General features: G+C 47.7%; 3 annotated features.

The window, feature by feature from the left end:
• Window positions 4975-5475: an enhancer, noted in NCBI's record as "H3K4me1 hESC enhancer chr4:25086876-25087376 (GRCh37/hg19 assembly coordinates)". NCBI's record gives its function as "activates a minimal SCP1, AML or CMV promoter by ChIP-STARR-seq in naive H9 embryonic stem cells {active_cell/tissue: H9 hESC(naive)}" and the evidence as "EXISTENCE:reporter gene assay evidence [ECO:0000049][PMID:30033119]".
• Window positions 5476-5976: an enhancer, noted in NCBI's record as "H3K4me1 hESC enhancer chr4:25087377-25087877 (GRCh37/hg19 assembly coordinates)". NCBI's record gives its function as "activates a minimal SCP1, AML or CMV promoter by ChIP-STARR-seq in naive H9 embryonic stem cells {active_cell/tissue: H9 hESC(naive)}" and the evidence as "EXISTENCE:reporter gene assay evidence [ECO:0000049][PMID:30033119]".
• Window positions 7825-8368: an enhancer, noted in NCBI's record as "H3K27ac-H3K4me1 hESC enhancer chr4:25089726-25090269 (GRCh37/hg19 assembly coordinates)". NCBI's record gives its function as "activates a minimal SCP1, AML or CMV promoter by ChIP-STARR-seq in primed H9 embryonic stem cells {active_cell/tissue: H9 hESC(primed)}" and the evidence as "EXISTENCE:reporter gene assay evidence [ECO:0000049][PMID:30033119]".

Genomic DNA, 20171 nt, shown 5'->3' on the forward strand with positions numbered 1-20171 from the left:
CCCATCTTACAGATTAGGAGACAGGCTCAGAGAGGTTAAAGAACTTACTCAAGGTCACATAGCTCCTAAGAGACAGACTGAAGTGTGAGCTGTTGCAATGCTTCTCAAACTTTGCCATGCATTAGAATCACACTGCAGCTTTAAAAATCCCAATTCCCAGGGTGCACACCAGCAACACACCATTACATTGGCCTGCGCCAAGTCTGCCGATTAAGTCAGTCTCTGTAAGTAGAGCCCAGATACTACATTGATATTTTTTAAAGCTTCCCATCAGGTGATTACAATATGCAGCCAAGATTGGGCTCCTTGGATTCTTAAATTCAGTTCTTCAAGAGCAGGGGTCCTGCTATAATACATTAAGCCAATCTTGAATGCTCCTTATTTCACCAATAACAAAAATAACTTCTAGCACCTATTATGTTAGCTAACAAAGCCTCTGACATTGATCTGAAATTTAAAAATAGTAACTGAAATCTTGTGGTAGCCACCTCAGGTTAGACGTCTGGCTTGAAGTTATTAAATGCTAACAAACCACCCTTGCAGTGTTGTGATTAGAACACTTAAAATGTTAACTGTCTCTAAAGAATAGATTAAAGTGAACCCACACACACTGGATATTACACTATTTCTGTTAAAATATTTTAAATGAAATTACAGACAGCATAACACATTGCCATCACATTCACTCTCTTCTTATGTTGAAAAGCCTAACAATGCTCCCACCTGCCCTGCAGTCACCAGATGAAATTTCCTGAATCACCTAATTAGTAATTGATATGGTTTGGATATTTGTCTCCTGTAAATCGCATGTTAAAATGTGATTCCTAATATTGGAGGTGGAGCCTGGTGGGAGGTGTTTGGGCCATGGAGGAGGGTCCCTCATGAATGGATTGGTGCCCTCCTCTTGGTAATGAGTGAGTTCTCGCTCAGTTAGTTCACATGAGATCTGGTTGTGTAAGAGTGTGGCACCTCCTCCCTCTCTCTCTTACTCCCACTACCACTCTGTGATAAGCCTGCTCCCCCTTCACATTCTGCCGTGATTGTAAGCTCCCTGAGGCCTCACCAGGAGCAGATGCCAGTACCATGCTTCCTGTACAGCCTGCAGAACCTGAGCCAATTAAGCCTCTTTTCTTTATAAATTACTCAGTCCTGGATATTCCTTTATAGTGACATAAAAACAAACTAACATGATAATGTTACTGTTCTTTTTTACCTCCTAGATCTTTGACATGTGACTTTGAGGTCAGGTGGTGTTTCCTTGCCCCTTGAGATCAAAGTTAGATCACCTTAAGACACCTGTCTCCTGTCCTTACTCTACCACCATCATTCTCTCAGGGTCTGGGAAGAGTCTGAGACATTCCCTACTTGCAAGCTAATAAGTTAGCCTGGCCGAGTCCAGTGACTCACACCTATAATCCCAGCACTTTGGGAGGCTGAGGCAGGTGGATCACTTGAGGTCAGGAGTTTGGGACCAGCCTGGCCAACATGGTGAAACCCTGTTTCTACCAAAAAATACAAAAATTAGCTGGGTGTGGTGGCACACGCCTGTAGTCCTAGCTATTCAGGAGGCTGAGGCGGGGTTATAGAGAGAGACTCCATCTCAAAAGGAAACAAAAGTTAGCCTGCTACTGTTTTATGGATGCTGGCAGAAGATATGAGACTTTTGGGTCAGAGTCAAAGGAACTTCTATTAGTCACAGCAGAGCAAGTAGAGACCATGATGTTAGCTTGGGTCTCAATGCGTCCCAAGTCCTGTGGGGGTGACAGAGGCAGGCCCAGGGAGACGGCACACATTACAGGTGATTTCCATCACACGCAAAGAACATTGATCCTGGGAAAGTGAGCAGTAAACAAACCTGCTCTTTGTCTGGTGGGAAACAAGATTGCCTGTTGCAAACACAACCCTGAGAAATAGCCCAGGTAAAAGCAGAATGGTTTGGCATTCCTGGCATACCCAGCAATCAAGAGCAGGGACGCTCAGAACTCACAGTGGATTGCTTCTTCTGACACCCGGCCGTTGACTTTGTGTTATTTTCTTCTCAGCACTTAACTCCCTGATAAGTTCTCATTAGTATGTCCTTATCTGTCTCTTTCAATGCAGTGGAAGTTCCAGGAGCTTGGGGTCATCTGTCCTTTCATTGTTAACTCCCCAGTACCAAGGAGAACAGGCCTGCAGAAGGCATTCCGTAAATGTTTGTTGAATGAATGAGTGGGACTAACCTCACTTTCCGACATAGGCTACAAATTCTCCACTCCAATCTAACAGGATTCTTAACTGCCCCCAAACCTGCCTAACTTCACGGCTTTGGCCTGGAGAAGCCTTGGCCGCAGGTGGCTTACCTCTCCTGCACCACACAGTTCACCCCCTGCAAAGCCCACGGCAGTATCTTCTCTCAGTTTCCTTCTACCTATGAATCTTCTCTGAACTTTTATAGCTCTCCTCTTTGGTCTCATGCATTATTAATATTTCCATCATTATATTCTTTTTTTCATAATTATTATGTAGTTGTTAAGGCCTATGAGTCTTGTTAAAATGTAAATGTCCCTGAGTTGGGAAAAGAAAGAAAGACGAGACCACAGCGGTGGTAAAGGGTAATGGTGACAGCCTCTAGACACCTGTATTGCTACTTACTAGCTGTGTAACCTCAGGCAAGCAGTTAAACCTCTCTGAGCCTTAGTTTTCTCATCTGCAACATGGGGAAAATGACCATAACTACCTCCTAGGGTTATTCTGAGGATTCAGTGAGATATTTTGTGGAAAGGACTGAGAAAAGTACTTTTGGTTATTTGTGGTGCAACATGCCATGTCATGCTGGATGCCTTCCCCGGTGACCCCTCAAGAGAGCCTCACCCCATTGGAGTGCCAGCCCCTTGAAAGAGAAGATGCATGGACTTCATTCTGCATCCGCTGCTGTTCCTCACTCTGCCCCAGAACACAGGACTGCGAGGAGGGGAAGGGCATGAGGAGCACGTTGAGCAGATGTTCCCACATGAAGTTAAATCTTCACAGAAGTGGGAATGTAGCAGAACGAGCTGCAGACAAAACCCCTCAGACACCGAGTTAAAGAAGGAAGGGCTTTATTCAGCTGGGAGCGTTGGCAAGACTCGTCTCAAAACCCGAGCTCTCCGAGTGAGCAATTCCTGTCCCTCTTAAGGGCTTACAACTCTAAGGGGGTCCACATGAGAGGGTCGTGATCAATTGAGCAAGCAGGAGGTACGTGACTGGGGGCTGCATGCGCCGGTAATCAGAATGGAACAGAACAGGACAGGGATTTTCACAATGCTTTTCCATACAATGTCTGGAATCTATGGATAACACAAGCAGTTAGGTCAGGGGTTGATTTTTAACTACCAGGCCCAGGGTGTGGTACTGGGCAATCTGCCTGTGGATTCCATTTCTACCTTTTAGTTTTTACTTCTTCTTTCTTTGGAGGCAGAAATTGGGCATAAGACAATATGAGGGGTGGTCTCCTCCCTTAGGAGGAGTGTTCAGTTGATGCAGCCCCACATGAGAAAGGACTCTTCCATGACTTTGACTTTGATTCTGGTCAAAAAGAAGAGACTCACTGAGCGAAATGGCCAGAGAGCAGTTATTTCACATTTCAGGTCTGGCAATGGAAGCAAAAGTTATAGTGGGTAACCTTGGAGCTGAGTTTTCTGGGCTGCAGAAGGCAAGTATTTCTAACTGGTCCTGGGCTGGCCTGAAGCAGTCTTTCTCTTTGAGTACTATTTTATTCAATAATAAGGAGTTATACATTCATAGAACTTTGCAAAGCACTTGAACATGTATCATCCCCTTTGACCTTCACAATCTTCAGAGGGAGGTATGTCCAGCAGCTTCATCATCCCCCATTTTACAGAGGAGGAAACTGAGGCACAGAGGCATCACATGGTAGAGCTGGGATTCAAACTCTGCCTCAACCTTACAGTAAGTAGAGTAAGGCATTCCCAAAGATGCCCATGTCCTAATTCCCAAAACTTATGAATATGTTACCTTACATGACAAAAGGAACTTAGCAGATGTGATGAAGTCAAACATCTTTTTTTTAGATGGAGTCTCGCTCTATTGCCCAGGCTGGAGTGCAATGGCTCGATCTCAGCTGTCTGCAACCTCCACCTCCTGGGTTCAAGCTATTCTCCTGCCTCAGCCTCCCAAGTAGCTGGGATTACAGGCACGTGGCACCGTGCCTGGCTCATTTTTGTATTTTTTAGTAGAGGCGGGGTTTCACCATGTTGGCCAGACTGGTCTCAAACTCCTGACCTTGTGATCCGCCTGCTTCAGCCTCCCAAAGTGCTGGGATTACAGGCATGAGCCACCGCGACTAACCCAAGTCAAGCATCTTGAGAGGGGAAGATGATCCCGAATTATCCAGGTGAGCCTAATCACAAGGATCCTTACCAAGAGGAGGTCAGAGTCGTAGACTGGAAGATGCTGCCAACTTTGACAATGAAGAGGCTACAGCCAAGGAAAGCAGCCAGCCGCTGGAAGCTGGAAGGGCAAAGGATGCCTCTCCTCTAGCACCTCCAGAAGGAATACAGCCCCGCCAATACCTTGATGTTAGCCTAATTAGACCCAGTTAGGACTTCTGACCTCCTGCACCGGAAGCTAAATCTGTATTAAGCTCCCAAGTTTGTGGCAATTTGTTATAGCAGCATCAGGAAATTAACACACCCCCCAAATCCTGCCAGGGCATCATGGTCATTTCAGGAAGCATGGTATTTTAAAATAAATTCATACTTGATGGGAACAGCACAGACGGCATGCAGGATCCACACAGGCCCTCCAACTACCCTGTGCTGCCAGCTCCTGGAATTCTTCAGCAGGATGTCTATGGAGGCAGGACAGTGCATGGCTGGAAACATGCCTTCTGGAGCTGGCAGCCTGGATTTATAATCCCAGCTCACTAGCTGTGAGACAATAAATAAGTTATTTAGCCTCCCTGTGCCTTGGTTTCCTCATCTGTGGATGGAAGTGAAAAATAGCACAGACTTCAAGGACCAGAAGAATCAACAGATGCTTAGGACAGTGCTGGGCACATGGCTGTTAGTTATTATTATTATTAAAGGGCTTTTAGTCTTTTTTTTTTTTTTTTTTTTTTTTTTTTGATACAGGGTCTTGCTCTGTCGCCCAGGCTGGAGTGCAGTGGTGCAATCTGGGCTCACTGCAGCCTCCACCTCCTGAGCTCAGGCGATCCTCCCACCTCAACCTCCTCAGCAGCGAGGATAAAGTGACTAATAAGCACCTCCCAGGACTATTGGAAGAATCAAAAGAGATAATAGGCATGAGATTCTTTTGCAAACGGAAACATGCCATTCAGATGAAAGGGGTGAGCATAATTACTGCCAAGGAGTCATTCCGGCTAGAATGAAATTGAGGAGAGGCAGGGGTGGGGGGTGACCCAGAGGCAGATGCAGCACCTTGGGGATGGGGAACAGGACTGGAGCCAAAGACCAGCCTGGTGCCTTTCCACCAAGCAGCGTGTGTTTTGGAGGCTGGCTCTGGGCAGGGCACTGCGCAAGACAGTTGGGCACTTAGCCCACGGGCCAGCCCTGCTCCCCAGGAGTGGCAGATTCCCACACACTTCCTCCTACTTAGAGAAAAAAAGAAATGGAGGCTTTGAAGGAAGTGTGTGAACATTTCAAAGCGCCACTAATTCATGACCAGCAACCACAGCTGAAATGCTGAGTAGAGTAAGTTCTGGCTCACAGTGCATCAGCTGATAGATTTCCCAGTAAGAAGTGGCCAGGCCTTTTGGGGTGAGTTAGCAACCTGCTCCAAAAGCAGATGTTTTGCAGTGGCTGGTAGATCTCTGTGCTGCATGCTCCAGACAGGGTGGCTAACTATCCCGGTTTTCCAAGGACACAGGAGTTTCCTAGGACACAGGAGTTTCCTGGGACACAGAACTTTCAGTGCTAAAACTGGGAACGTCTTGGCCAAACTAGGACAAGTTGATCATCTTATTCCCAGGACTCTGCATCTCCCTTCACCAAAATCCTCCTGGAAATGCTCCCCAGCTCACCCTGAAATAGTACGGCCTTCATGCTCTTGCTTTTAGATTCATTACATAAAGCAGAGATTGGCAGTGTTTCCAGACCAATTCCAAACACTGTCCATTCACTGAGTGCTTTACAGTTTGCAAAGTGGTTTCCCATACATTAACATGTTTGGTCTTTAGAACAATCTCAAGGCCAAGGATAATAAAGATGGCTGTGCTAGAAATGCTTCAGAATGTAAGAAACAGAAAATATAACTAGAATGACTTAAGGAAATAGGTTGTTATTGTTTTCCAAAACAAAATGTCTAGAAGCAGGCAGTTGCTGGGTTTGTGTCTTTAGCATGATATCAAGGCAAACTGACTGCAACTCTTCCAGTCTTCCCTCATGGCTGCCACAACACTAGATACCTGGTTTCATCTTAGGCAGGAAGAAGGTGGCTGATGGGACACAGCCAGCAGAATTCTGCTTAGGTTTCTTTGGCCAGAGCAGTGTTACAGGGGCATTTCCAGCTGCATGGCCATTAGAGATATGAAGTATTTAGCTTTCTAGCCTCTGTAGTAGAGGAAGGTGAGGGATAAAAGGAATAGGAGCAGTGTTGAATGAGTCACTTACAGTATCCGCCACAGTATGAACAGAGGGTGGCTTACTACAGGGCAGACAAGGCTAGCGGGACTTGGGATCTCATGGAGCCCTGTGATTCTCAACACTTCATTGTACATTGAATCAACTGGAGCCCTTTTAAAATAATGATGCCCTGGTCTACCCCAGACAACCAAAATCAGAATCTCTGAGAATAGGTCCTAGCATAATTATCTTTCAAATCTCCCTAGTTGACTAAAGTGTGCAGCCGGCCTTCTAAAGCTGCACTGTTCAAGTGCTAGTCCCTAGCCACATGTGGTTATTGACATTGAAATTAAGTAAAATAGTTTCTCGGTCATAGTGGCCACATTTCAAACAGTCAGTAGCTGCACGTGGCTCGTGACTACCCTTTGTACAGTGCAGATACAAAACATTTCCACCATCATAGAGAGTGCTGTGACTGGACAGTGCTGTTCTAGGGGAACCTGAGAGTGAGGGAGCCTGTTTGGAAGTTCAAGCAGGGCTGGGCTGAGTGAGGCAAGTCAGATAGCCCTGACCTGGATGCAGTACAGAAGAATGGTTAAGGGGGTGAACAGGGAGCCAGGTGGCCCCAGTTTCAATCGCAGACCCTCCACTCACCAGCTGGGCAACTTCAAACAAGTCACTATCCTCTCTGGCCTCTCTTTTTCCCCCTGCAAAATGCGGGTGATAACAGCATACCAACTTTAGGGGTTGCAGTGAGGACTCTAAGCTGATCCTTGTAACACGCTCAGGACGGTGCCCTGGCACGCGCTACCTGCTGCATATGTCGGCTGTTGATGTTATCCAGGAGGCCTGACAGAGGGCCTCTCCCCAGGCACATCTGTGATGTTAACTGTCAACCCAAGACTTTCTCCCAGGTTTCCCAGCAGGGACCGTGACACTGGCTTTTCCATGTCACCCCTTGCTCTGGGTCTGATTTCCTGGTACTCAGCCAGTCAGCCCACCCCAGGTCCAAGTATGTAGGAGGAGTGAAAGAATGAATGAGTGCACAAACACCGAACACATCCCTGGGATCATTCACTGAGTATAACCAGCCCCTTGACTTGTAACTTGGCCCTGGGTTCAGCAGGTGCAGAGGGCGTGGAGCAGGGAGTCAGTCCTTGTGGGCCTGGGCAGGTCGCTGGGCCTCTCTGAGAATACCTGATCTATAAAATCAGGGGTTCAGCCCAACACAGAGTACAGCCTCTCTGAAAGGCATTAAATCTCTGAAACACAGAATTTTCCTTCCTTGGGGAAAAATTACAGCTTCTTAACTAGGGTGCCTGTGCCCTGATCTTCCCAGGTTTCCGATCTCCCCAAGATACAATAGGAGTCCTTTGTCATCGCTCAGAGCTGCCACCCAGCCTTCCCTGTCCCCTCCATCTCTCCAGGTTGCGCTGTCTAGGAAGGGGGGCCAGGGCGTGCATCAGGAAGAAGACATTCACTGCAGCAGAAATGAGTAAGATGCCCCCTCCTTGCTCTATGAGGACTGTCAGAAAGTGGGGGGCGACGCCCCCTGATACAGGCCTGCTCAAACAGCCCCACCTCCCAGGGAAGGAAGGGCACTTTCAGATGCAACAACCTTGAGCCTCAGCACATCTGCTCCTGGCGTGCGAATGCCACAGCGCGGCAGACACGCCGCGATGGGTCCCAGTCATTAACTGGCTGTCAGGTTCCTCAGATGATGGAGCTAAAAATAGCGCGCTATAGATAGAAGCTTCTCCCACGCAGGCAGGCGCCGGCTGCAAATGGAAGTGGGGGGCAGGGGCTGTGCGCGGCTCTCTCCCCTAAAGCGAGGTTCGTGCTCATCTCTAGCCCCCGCCGCTCTCGTGGGCCACGTCCTGCTTCGCTCCGCAGCATCCCCGCTCAGGAACCGCAGATGCGCCCAAATGTTCCAAACCCGCGCGGGGCGGGGGCTCATTTGTATGCCGCACCCTGGATACAAGTGATAAGGCCCCAAACACTCCAAGGAGACCGCACAGATGAAACCCGGCGCTGCTCGCTCAGGAGGCGAGATATTTATAGAATCCAAATATCAGCATTTTCTCCCCATTTACACAAAGCAATTTCAGCCTTTTCAGATGAGAAAAGAGCAGCCCCGGCCGTCATTCATTCGGGTGCGGGAATCACATTTGGGACCAGGAAGCCCTGATTTTATAGGAAACCTCGAGGCAGGCTCGGATTAAAGATCAATGGCGACATAAAATGTGGGCTGTCATATTTTCGCTCTGAACATGTCCTGGTAATAAAAAATGTTGTTTTAGTAAATAAACTCGGGGAGATGCATTGCCTGCTGTTTATGCTCTTCAGCCTTGGTGCTTGGAGCAAAGGATGACTACAGAGAGAGAGAGAGAGAGAGAGAGAGAGAGACAGAGACAGAGAGAGAGAGAGAATGAATATCATCTTCGGAGTCCACAGCTGAGCCTACCAGCTGCAGGGGAAGCCTCTGACCCTCTCTCCACCTCCTGAGCCAGCGCAGCGCACTGTGTATTTCTCTGCCGAGATGCTCATTTTGCTACTTCTTTAAGAAAAGTGTGAAATGTGTTTCCAAAAAATAATGAGGCCGGCAGTGGAACAGGCAGGCTGTCAGTGCAGACCCTGGGGAGAGATAGGCGTGGGGTCAAGTCCTGGCCCTGCCGCATCCGGGCTGAATGGGTCTGGGGAAGTTACCTAACACCGCTGAAGCTCAGTTTCCTCATCTGTTAAATGGGGATATCGTAGTCCCTCCCTCACTGAGGCATAGTGAGGATTAAATGATAAAATGCAGGAAAAGTGCCTGTCAGGCCAGTCAATAGCAGATTTTATTATTGTGCCCAGGAATTGGAAGATGAATTCAGGGTATCAGTGGATATCTCCCTGGACCATAGGTCTTCAAGATTTGCTGAGCAGCTCCCAATTTGCCTGAAGTTTGACCAGGAAAAACACCTTATGGGGTTCCCCCATAATTCAGTTTTGTTCAATATAACAGGCAGCCAGTCACTGGGGCTCACACCTGTAATCCCAGCACTTTGGGAGGCTGAGGTGGGAGGATCGCTTGAGCCCAAGAATTAGAAACCAGACTGAGCAGCACAGTGAGACCTCATTTCTACAAAAACTTTAAAAAATTAGCCAGGTGTGGCAGCTTGTGCCTGTAGTCCCAACTATTTGGGAGGCTAAGGCTGGAGGATCGCTTGAGCCCTGGAGTTAGAGGTTGTAGTGAGCTATAATTGCACCATTGCACTCCAGCCTGGATGACAGAGTGAGGACTTATCTCAAATAATAATAATAATAACATGCAAAATATGAGGGCAGAGATCTGGGCCTTTCTGGCTTGGCCGTCTGAATGATCCTCGGGAGGAACTTAAGTGGTCTTCCCTGACATGTCCCAAAGCCCTGTTGACAGTGGGCCAGGGGGTGGCTTTGTGGGTCCAGCATGCAGTCATGCCTCATCTGAGATCTCTTTGGGAAACTGGGCATAGATCCTTGTGTATTCAGACCAATCCCCTCCAAACCTCCTGGGCATTTCTGACACCACCCTCCTCCTCTGGGCACACCAGGCAGGGAGGGACCTGGCATAGGGCTATCTTGTCTCAGGATCTCATCTCATTCCTTGCTTTTCCGCAACTCACCTTTCTCCCTGATGTCTAGCTTAGTCGTTCTGAAATTTTAGTATCATCAAAATCACCAGGACAGATCCTAGACTGCTTGAGCTCCATCCCCAGAGTTTCTGATTCAGTATCACTGGGATTAGGGCCCAGGAATGTATATTCCTAACAAGTTCTCAGATGATGCCAAGTGATGTTGATTTCCAGACCACCTTTGGAGAACCAATGATCTAAAGAAATTCATACGGAGGGTGAGGGACTGGGAAGTTCTGCTATTACTGCTATTACTCATCATGTCTCATAGGGTCTTGACGCATCAGCTCTTTTGGTTTTGTGGGCCTGGATCCTTTGAAATACAACAATAAATAATTATAAATTTAGATGAGTGCTCTGTAGGAAAACTCAGTGTGCCTTCAGAGAGCATATAGAGGGTCCTGACTGAGGGTCAGGAAGGACTGCTTTAAGGACACGACAATAGAAGCTGAGGATTAGGGTGCATAAAATTAGATGAGGAGCCAGGGAACAGCATTCCAAGGAGCAGGACTGGACTATGCTTTGGAGCCACATTGTCATGGGTTTGTTGCTCAAAGAAACCAACTAACAGCTGTGGTTTCATTGAGCCTCAATAATAAGAGGTCAGGGCCAGGTGCCACGGGTTATGTCTGTAATCTCAGCATTTTGAGAGGCTGAGGTGGGAGGATCACTTGAGTCCAGGACTTTGAGGCCAGGCTGGGCAACATACTGAGACCTCATTTCTACAAAAAAATTTAAAAATTAGCCAGGTGTGGTGGTGCGTGCCTATGGTCCCAGCTATCAGGAGGCTGAGGTGGGAGGATCACTTGAGCCTGGGAGTTTGAGGCTGCAGTGAGCTCTGATCGAAGCACTGCACTCCAGCCTGGGAGACAGAGAGAGACCTGTCTCAAAAGTAATAGTCATAATAATAAAAGGTCAGAAGAGAGACCCAGGCCCTTCCTTCTCACCTGTCCCTGCCCCTTCTTCCTCCCCTGCTTCCCCTCCTATCTGCCCTAGCACCATCAAGTCCTGTTGCTGGGTGCTCTGCCTTAGTTGACTCTTGTCTTCATTGTACATTGTGTCAGTTATCTATTATCGCTGCATAACAAACCCTAACATTTAGTTCTCCCAATTCGTGCGGTTGGCTGGGTGGTTTGGCTGCTGGACTCACCTGGGCTCACTCATGCAGCTGCACTCCGCTAGCAGCTGGTGAGGCAGCTGGGCTCTGGCTCTCTGGGCTGGGCATCTCTCTCCATATGGTCTTTCACTGTTCGTTCTTCATGGTAGGGCCATGTCAGGGCAATATTCCAAGATGGGCAGGAGGGAAGCACAAGGCCTTCCAAGGTCCAGGCTCCGGAGCCTACCTACTTGTCACTTCTGCCACATTCTATTGGTTGAGAGTGTTGGCCTGAAAGGAAGAGGCTGAGGCATGAAGTGTAATTTAAAGAGTTTACTTAAGCCAAAGTGAGGACAGCTGCCTGGAAGACTCAGACCCAAGTAACCTTGCCTATGAGCTTCGTTCTGCCTTTCTTAAAAGCAGGTTTTTAAAGGAAAGAAGGGGACACGGAGGCAGTGGGCTGCTACAACGCTGTCAGGAATCCTCATTGGTTTACAGAAATAACATTAATTAGGGATTGGCTATACATTGTGAAGCTACAGGGTATGGGTTATAGTGTCTGGTGTGGCATTACTGGGTTAATTTACAGCTTCTTGTGGTAATAGTAAGCAGTTTCAAGAGATGAATGCATAGCTCAAAGTGAAGTGTAGGATGAGAGTGCTGTCTCATTGTCTTGTCTCTCTGGGCTTGATCATTTAAAAGGACTTGCATTCCTCAGATAAAAGTTCTTTTTTTCTCAGGGGAAACCGGAAGGCAGCGGAGCAGAGAAAAGGAGCTTGTTTCCTCCTGTTTTCTTCCTGTTCCCATCTGCACAGCCTCAGCACCAGCCTTCAGCCTTGCAGCAGCAGTTGTTTCCAGCTTTTTCCCACCCTTCCAGAGCCAGCCTGGATACCAGCTTTACAGGGCACTTCCTCCATGCCTCTAAGTCCTCATAACCCCGACCTCTTCTGATTCTCCAGTCTTAAGGATGGAAGCTGCTTCCTTCAGCTACTACTTCTTTGAGATCTCAGTGGTCCCAGTTTGCCTTTTCAATACTCAGTTCAGCCAATTCCTTGTATTAAACTATCTCTGTTAATATAATAGATGTGGCCGGGCATGGTGGCTCATGCCTATAATCCCAGCACTTTGGGAGGCCGAGGTGGGTGGATCACTTGAGGTCAGGAGTTTGAGACCAGCGTGGCCAATATGGAGAAACCCCTTCTCTACTAAAAATACAAAATTTAGCCAGGCATGGTTGCATGAGACTGTAATCCCAGCTACTCAGGAGGCTGAGGCAGAAGAATCACTTGAACCTTGGAGGTGGAGGCTGCAGTGAGCCGAGATTGCACTACAGCATTCCAGCCTGGGCGACAGAGCAGAACTCTGTCTCAAAAAAATAAAAATAAAAAAGAGATGTAGTTTCTATTTTCCTGACTGAACCCTAATACTTAGTATATCAACAAAAATACACTCTGCTGCAAGTATCAGATACCCAACTATTGGTGGATTAAACCATAAGGTCATTTACAATTTACTCAAGAAAAGGCCTAGAGCCTTTGGTTTAGTTTCTCAACAAAAGATCTTCTTGCAAAAGATCCAACTTCTGTCTTCCTACTCTGCCATCTATGGATGGTTGTCTTTTCATCCTCATGCTTGTTACCTCATGGTAGCAAGATGGCTGCTTTTGTTCCAGACATCATGGCTACATTCAAAGGCAGAAAGTCAGCATCTCTTCTTCCTTGGCTCTCAGAACTTCTTCCTTGGCTTGCTCTTACTCTCTTTCTCAAAATTTCCTCAACAGACTTTCCTTTACATCTCATTGGCCCGAACTAAAACAATGGTCACACCTAGCTGCAAGAGAGGCTGGTAAATTTAATCCTTAGCAAAGGAGGATGGGATTACCATGATGGGCTAGGTCAATCATCATTCTACCCCTGGGACTCTATCTACTACTACCTGAAAGAAAAATCAGAGATCTCTCCTCAATGGAGAGCAGGGAAGGGGTATCAGGAGTGGGATTGCAGCTGAGAAAACACTTCTGCATCTACCCGCTGGCCTTGACTGCCTTCCTTGCCCCTGGCAGATGCATTGGCACTTAGCTTGCTTCCAAGTTTCCTTATCCATGGTTTGCTGGAACCTCTGGGTCCAACCCACGCAGCTCAGGAAAGCAGAGTGAGAAACAAACCCTGGCCCTCCTGGTGCTCCACATGCAGGCCACTGGACAGGCCTGAGCTCCAGGGCTTCTGGGCCTCTCCATCTGGGCTTGGCTTCCACACTGCTGGCTGAAGGCTCACTTTCTCTTCCCCCAAGTTCTGTCTCTCCACGTGTACCCTGGGTTGTGAGGCAGAAGAGAAACCCAGCTCTTTAGAAAATTCACAGTCTAACCAGCAGCCTGTGTCCCTTTCTTCCTGTGACTGCCTGTTTTCTGGCCTATGTTAAATAGTGAAATGAAGGAATTTAGAAAAAAAGCAATTTCTCTCCCTTCAGGGCTTGGTTTTTTCAAAACAAAAGAGGGCAGGAAGCTGGAAAGCACCACCTCAGGCTTGTGTGGTAGCCAGCTCCCCTTCCCTCCTCTGCTTCTCATCATCGCTCCAGAGCCGCGTTGGGGCCTGCAGCCTCCCCTGAGTCCTGACTACCCAGTGGAAAAGGTGCAAGCTCTGTGTGCTCTAGTACACTTGTGCCTGTCTGGATATTCCTAGAGCTACCCACTCCAGCCATGGCTGCTGGGAATGGAAAAGCTACGTGACCTGTTCAATCTCTCTCTAGTGCCATTTTTCTCCCACAACCACTGTCCCCCACCCCCCAGGGACAGAAGGAAGGTGATACAGTGATGTGTGTCCCTGCCCAAATCTCATGCTGAAATGGAATCCCCATTGTTGAAGGTGGGGCCTGGTGGGAGGTGATTGGATAATGGAGGTGGATTTCTTATGAATGGTTTAGCACAATTTTGATGGTGCTGTCCTCATGATAGTGAACTCTCCAGAGATCTGGTCATTTAAAAGTGTGGCACCTCCACCTCCTTGCTCTTGCTTTCACCATGTGAGATGCCCACTCCCTCTTCGCCTTCCACCATGATTGTAAGTTTCCTGAGGCCTCCCAGAAGGCAAGCAGATCCTAGCATCATGCTCCCTGTACAGCCTGCAGAACCGTGACCCAGTTAAACCCCTTTCTTTAGAAATTACCCAGTCTCAGGTATTGCCTTATAGCAATGCGAAAATGACCCAATACAGATAATAAGGGATTTCCATTCCCTTTATATTTTCTTTTTCTTAATTTGTAACTTAATATGTAACTTATATGTAACTAAATACATATACACAGATATACTATATATACCATGTACATATTTTATGTATATGCATATTATGTGTATATGTAATATGTGTATATAACATATGGATTATATATTACAATATATAATTGCACGCATGCAGGTATACTAAATTGCATATATACAGGTAAATTATATATACAATGTACATATTTTATGTATATTATATATTATAATATGTGTATATGTAATATGTGTAATAACATATGGATTATATATTATGTATAATAATTCTAATAATGAGCCTTCCTTTGTTCCAGGCACAGGTCTACATTCTTTTTTTTTTTTTTTGACACAGAGTCTTGCTCTGTCACCCAGGCTGAAGTGCATGGCGCGATCTCGGTTCACTGCAACCTCTGCCTCCCGGGTTCAAGCAATTCTGCCTCAGCCTCCTGAGTAGCTGGGATTACAGGCCTGCACCATCACGCCCGGCTAATTTTTGTATTTTTAGTAAAGAGGGGGTTTCACCATGTTGGCTAGGCCGGTCTGGAACTCCTCACCTCGTGATCTGCCCGCCTCAGCCTCCCAAAGTGCTGGGATTACAGGCGTGAGCCTCCGTGCCCGGCCAGGTCTACATTCTTTGCATATTACCTCACTCCATCTCCCCAGCAGCCCGGAGAGTTGCCCAAGGCCACGCAGTCAGTGGGTAAAACAACTGAGATTCTAGTACTGGAAACTACCTGGTTTGAAAAGTGATCCTAAGGAAAGGGCAGGTGGCCTTTTGCCCTTGGTAAATCCGGGAAAGCTTCTTGAAGGTGGGGGTGGGTTCGCTGGTTAAAGGAGAGGAAGAGTGTCCTCTTGGTGGGAGGTGGCAGAGAAAATAACCCGGAGGAGTGGGCGGTCCTGGGCACAGCCGTTTGCTCTTCGTCTGTCCTCCACTCATCTGGCCTTAAGTCAGCAACATCAAGAGCAACTGCATTATCTGGTTCCAGGGCATGATGGTTCCAACGCACATTACCCCCATATGCTGACTGCACCAGCCCTGCGCTGCTGGAAATGCGCTGGTCTCGGCCTATCAGAGCTCTAGTGAGCGGTTCCGGCGGGTTATCAGGAAGCATTACTTCCCGCCTAGGCATTCAATGAATTGCATAAATGCCATCCACTGTGGCTAAAGGGCTCCTGCTCCATCTGCATCATTTCCGAGGCTGTCATTCGGCGTGACATGTGTGCGCCGGGCCTCTCGCCGCCATCTGGCAGCCTCTTGGAAATCACAGCTCCCCCTGCACCCCCCATCCCGTGCTCCATCAGGAGCGGGGGCCTGAGCCAAGACCGTGGGTAAAGCAAGATCGGGACTTAGGCGCGCCTGTGCGGTGACAGCCAGGATTTAGTCGCCTCGATTGCTTTCTGACATGTTCATAGCTCTTCCGGGCGTTACCTCTGCAGCCGTTGAAGCCGCAGGAGGCAAGAAGCAGAAATTGCATTTTCCACAGTGCACGCTTTGGGAAGGCCCATTCTTCAGGTCTAGAGGCAACTACCTGGGAAGGTTCCAGCAGCTGCCACTGCCTCCAACGGCCTGCCCTGGCCAACTCCCCCAGGGGCGATGTTGCCCGTCCCAGGCAAGAGGACTGTCACTCGGACAGACAGAGCAGCAAGAGTGTGCTCTCCTCTGCGGCCACTGAGTAGGCAAATGGAAGTCCTCCCCTGAGAATCCTGAAAAATCCCAAGAGAATTTCGCATTTTACGGACAACTTAGCCACGAACATTCCCACGGCGGCAGGGGTACGGACACATCAGCAGCCACACTCAGCCAGTTCTCTAAATCCCGCAGACCAAAGAATGTTCTCCCACAGCGAGATTACACAAGAACCAGGGAGAGAGATTTCGCCTCCTGACACCAGAACAGAGGGGCTGATGTGAGGGTGTAAAGGGCAGGGAGGGTGCTGGACTAACGGGTTATTTGTTTTGATGCTAACCCTAAATCCCCCTTCTCTGTTTCACTCTAATATCTACTAGGTAGGTGTTGCCCCGAGCCATGGCTCCCAAGTTTCGCCATGTCAAGGAATTTCCTGATGGATGTGGCAGGACCTGCCCAATCTCAGGAGCTCCGATCCACTTGCTTTGTGGTGAAGACAGGAAAATGCATTTTTAGTAAGTATTCATTCAGGGCTCTCTTGCAGGTGGTTCTCAGCTGTAGGTTAAGAAACCACGGCCACTGCACAGAGTCCCTTCCTCCTTCATGGAATCTCTCCCTGAGGGGTGAGGCAAGGATGCCAACCGCAAATGCAGTGAGGGAGTGTCTGCCTCATTGAGGGAGGTCTCACTGCTCCGCGCTTCCTCCTTTCCACCTTAGACACTGTGTCCGCTCCCAGGACACGCCCTCTGTAACCCACGCCATGGGGGGACTCTCATTTTCCTGTGTTCTCCCTCCCACAGCATTGTTTCTTTCCAAAGGTGGGCGCCGACCATGTAAGATAACACGTCAAGTCTCCATGTGGCCAGCAGCAGAAACAATGACATATTTCTCTGCATGTCCTTGGGAGCCTAGCAGGGTGACAGGCTTTACAGACATTCTTAAGCAACGGCATTACATATTTATTAAGTACTTCCCTTACTTCAGGCTCTGGGCTAGCTGCTGGTAAAGAAAAGAAAGAAAGGAGACGAATAATTTTAACTCAAATTGATAAATGGAGCTTTAAGTATAAAGCATCGAACCTATTTGATTGGCAGAGATTGAAATAAAGGAGAAGACCCAGTTGCGGTGGAGCAAGGAGGAACTCCGACAACGTATGGAGGACCGTTAAGTGGGCAGGACTGTTCTGGAAGGCAAGGGGGCAATGTGTGACCAAAATTAAAATGTCTGTTCCCTTTGATCCCAAAATTCTAGTTCTAGGTACTTTTCCTAAGGAGATAACAGAACGAGGACATGAAGCTGTTTGCTTGAGTTATTCCCCAAACATCTATGGAGAACCTACCAGACACAGGGCAGGTGCTAGGTACTAGGCACGGAGTAGAAATGAAACGGCAGGAGGATGTCCGCGAGTGGATGGGTGCAGAGAGGATCACTCTGCTGGGGTCTCTGAGAGCAAAAAAGTGGCAACAACCTAAGAGTCCATCCATGGGTGTCTGAGTCCATTTATTTTGACACAGCCATGTAACAGAAAATTAAGCCATCATTTAAAATGTTGATGTGAGCCAGGCTTGGAGTTTCACGCCTACAGTCCCAACACTTTGGGAGGCTGAGGTGGGAGGATCACTTGAGGCAAGGAGTTCAAGACCAGCCTGGGCAACATAGCAAGACACCGTCTCTATAAAAATAATAAATAGGCCAGGCATGGTGGCTCATGCCTGTAATCCCAGCACTTTGGGAGGCCGAGGCAGGTGGATCACAAGGTCAGGAGCTCGAGACCAGCCTGGCCAAGATGGTGAAACCCCGTCTCTACTAAAAATACAAAAATTAGCTGGGCACGGTGAGGGGTGCCTGTGATCCCAGCTACTCAGGAGGCTGAGGCAGGAGAATCACTTGAACCCAAGATCATGCCACTGCACTCTAGCCTGGGCAACAGAGCAAGACTCTGTCTCAAAAAATACATCATCATAATAATAAATTTAAAAATTTTAAATGTTGAGGTGGGCCAGGCATGGTGGCTTATGCCTGTAATCCCAGCACTTTGGGAGGCTGAGGCAAGTGGATCACTTGAGGTCACGAGTTCAAGGCCAGCCTGGCCAACATGGTGAAACCCCATCTCTACTAAAAATACAAAATTTAGCTGAGTGTGTTGGCATACGCCTGTAATCCCAGCTACTCGGGGAGCTGAGGCACGAGAATTGCTGGATCCTAGGAGGCAGACGTTGCAGTGAGCCAAGATCACACCACTGCACTCCAGCCTGGGAGACAGAGCAAGATTCTGTCTCAAAATAATAATAATAATATAAAAAGTTGATGTGTGTATCTATAGTTATCGTTGGAGGAAGCTCTGTATGACATTGCTAAGTAAAAAATGCAAATTAGGAAACCAAAAATTCTCATTATGTAAAATTACATATAAATGTCTACGTGAGTATATACATAGGAGAAAGGTATCGAAGATGTCATCTGTTAGATGTCAGAATGTTCAAATAATTTGTTTCCAGCACATTCCTCCTTCTACCTTTCTGTTTTTGAATTTTCTACAACAGCATGGAGCCGGAATGCAAACATTATCTTTGCAAGCAGAACAAATGAATGAACGAGCAAAAGAAAGAAAGAAAGAAGAGAAAGTGAGAGAAAGAGAGAAAGAAGAAAGAAGGAGAGAAAAAAGAAAGAGAGAAAGAAAGAAGAGGAGAAAGAAGGAAAAGGGAGAAAGAAAGAAACGAAAAAAGAAAGAAAGAAAGAAAAGAAAAGAAAGAAAGAAAGAAAGAAAGAAAGAGAGAAAGAAAAGAAAAGAAAAGAAAAGAAAAGAAAAGAAAAGAAAAGAAAGAGAAAGCAAAACAGCACCAAAGCCCAACCAGGATGCTAACAGCCTCAGAGGATGAAGCAGCCTCTTGGGAATCCTGATACTCCTCACACTGCCTCGCGTGCTATTTGCCCTGCAGGATTTCAGTTCACAGAGGTTAGGAGTGGGGCTGACACATGGTGGGGATCTGATAACTGTTTGTCCCTTTGTTGTGGCTGCTGTCCTCCTGCTGTGTTCTGAGATGAAACACTTGTACCCCAGAAAGACTCATGGGTCTCCTGTAACCTGACAAGTGCTCCATGACCTTCCTGGGCTTCTGTCTTCCAACGTGAGAATCTCAGAGGCTGGGACTGCCATCTGACAATATGTATCATCAACCCCGGGCCCAACGCCAGGCTGGGATTTGGCCAGCTGGCCCTGGGCCTGGGTTGTTCTTTCTTATCTACTGAGGCTTCGTTGAACTGGCCAACTGATGAGGCACAGCTGAGGCAGTGAAATCTTCCCGAGTGATACATGTGGCTGTCAGGATTATTCACAGTAGTTTGTGTCCCCTGTCCAAGACCCTTCTCCCCATAGACACCCTTCCAAACCCAGCTCATGACTAATAAACCCATACCCAAATTGATCTCACAGCTGTTCTTCAAATGTGGTGCCAGCCCACTCCTCGGAGCCAAGCTGTTTGGACTTCCAGTAAATTGGGGCAATTTCTCATCTGGGGCTTGTTACTGGTTTCAGAAACTGTTCTCATTCAGCACAGGCTTTTCAGTGGCGACAGTAACATGTCTTGACAAAAACACTGAGTTTGGAGAACTGGTTTCTCCTACCACCAGACACACTAGCAAAAAGTCCCTGTCTAGCTGCTAATTCATTCAGTTCTTCAATGGATGCATGATTTACTCATGAAAAAGAAAACAGTGAAGGCCCCCTCCTCATGGCTTTCTTCCAACAAACTCAGGCACGACTTCAAACGGTGTGGCCCAGATAGGGGAGGGAGACAGGAAATTAAACACCAGTTGACCAAGTCAGTATTAGGCAGCTGGGGAAAGAGGGTGGGGTGGAGGTTATTTGGAATAAGGTGTCAGGTTATCCATGAGGGCAAGATCTGCCAACCACTTGAAGGCCAGCAGTGGCCAAAGTTCTAGAACCAGTAGCCACAATCGAGGTAGTAACAGTGGTGGG

The sequence above is a fragment of the Homo sapiens genome, chromosome 4 (genome assembly GCF_000001405.40).
Source record: "Homo sapiens chromosome 4, GRCh38.p14 Primary Assembly".
Taxonomy (NCBI): domain Eukaryota; kingdom Metazoa; phylum Chordata; class Mammalia; order Primates; family Hominidae; genus Homo; species Homo sapiens.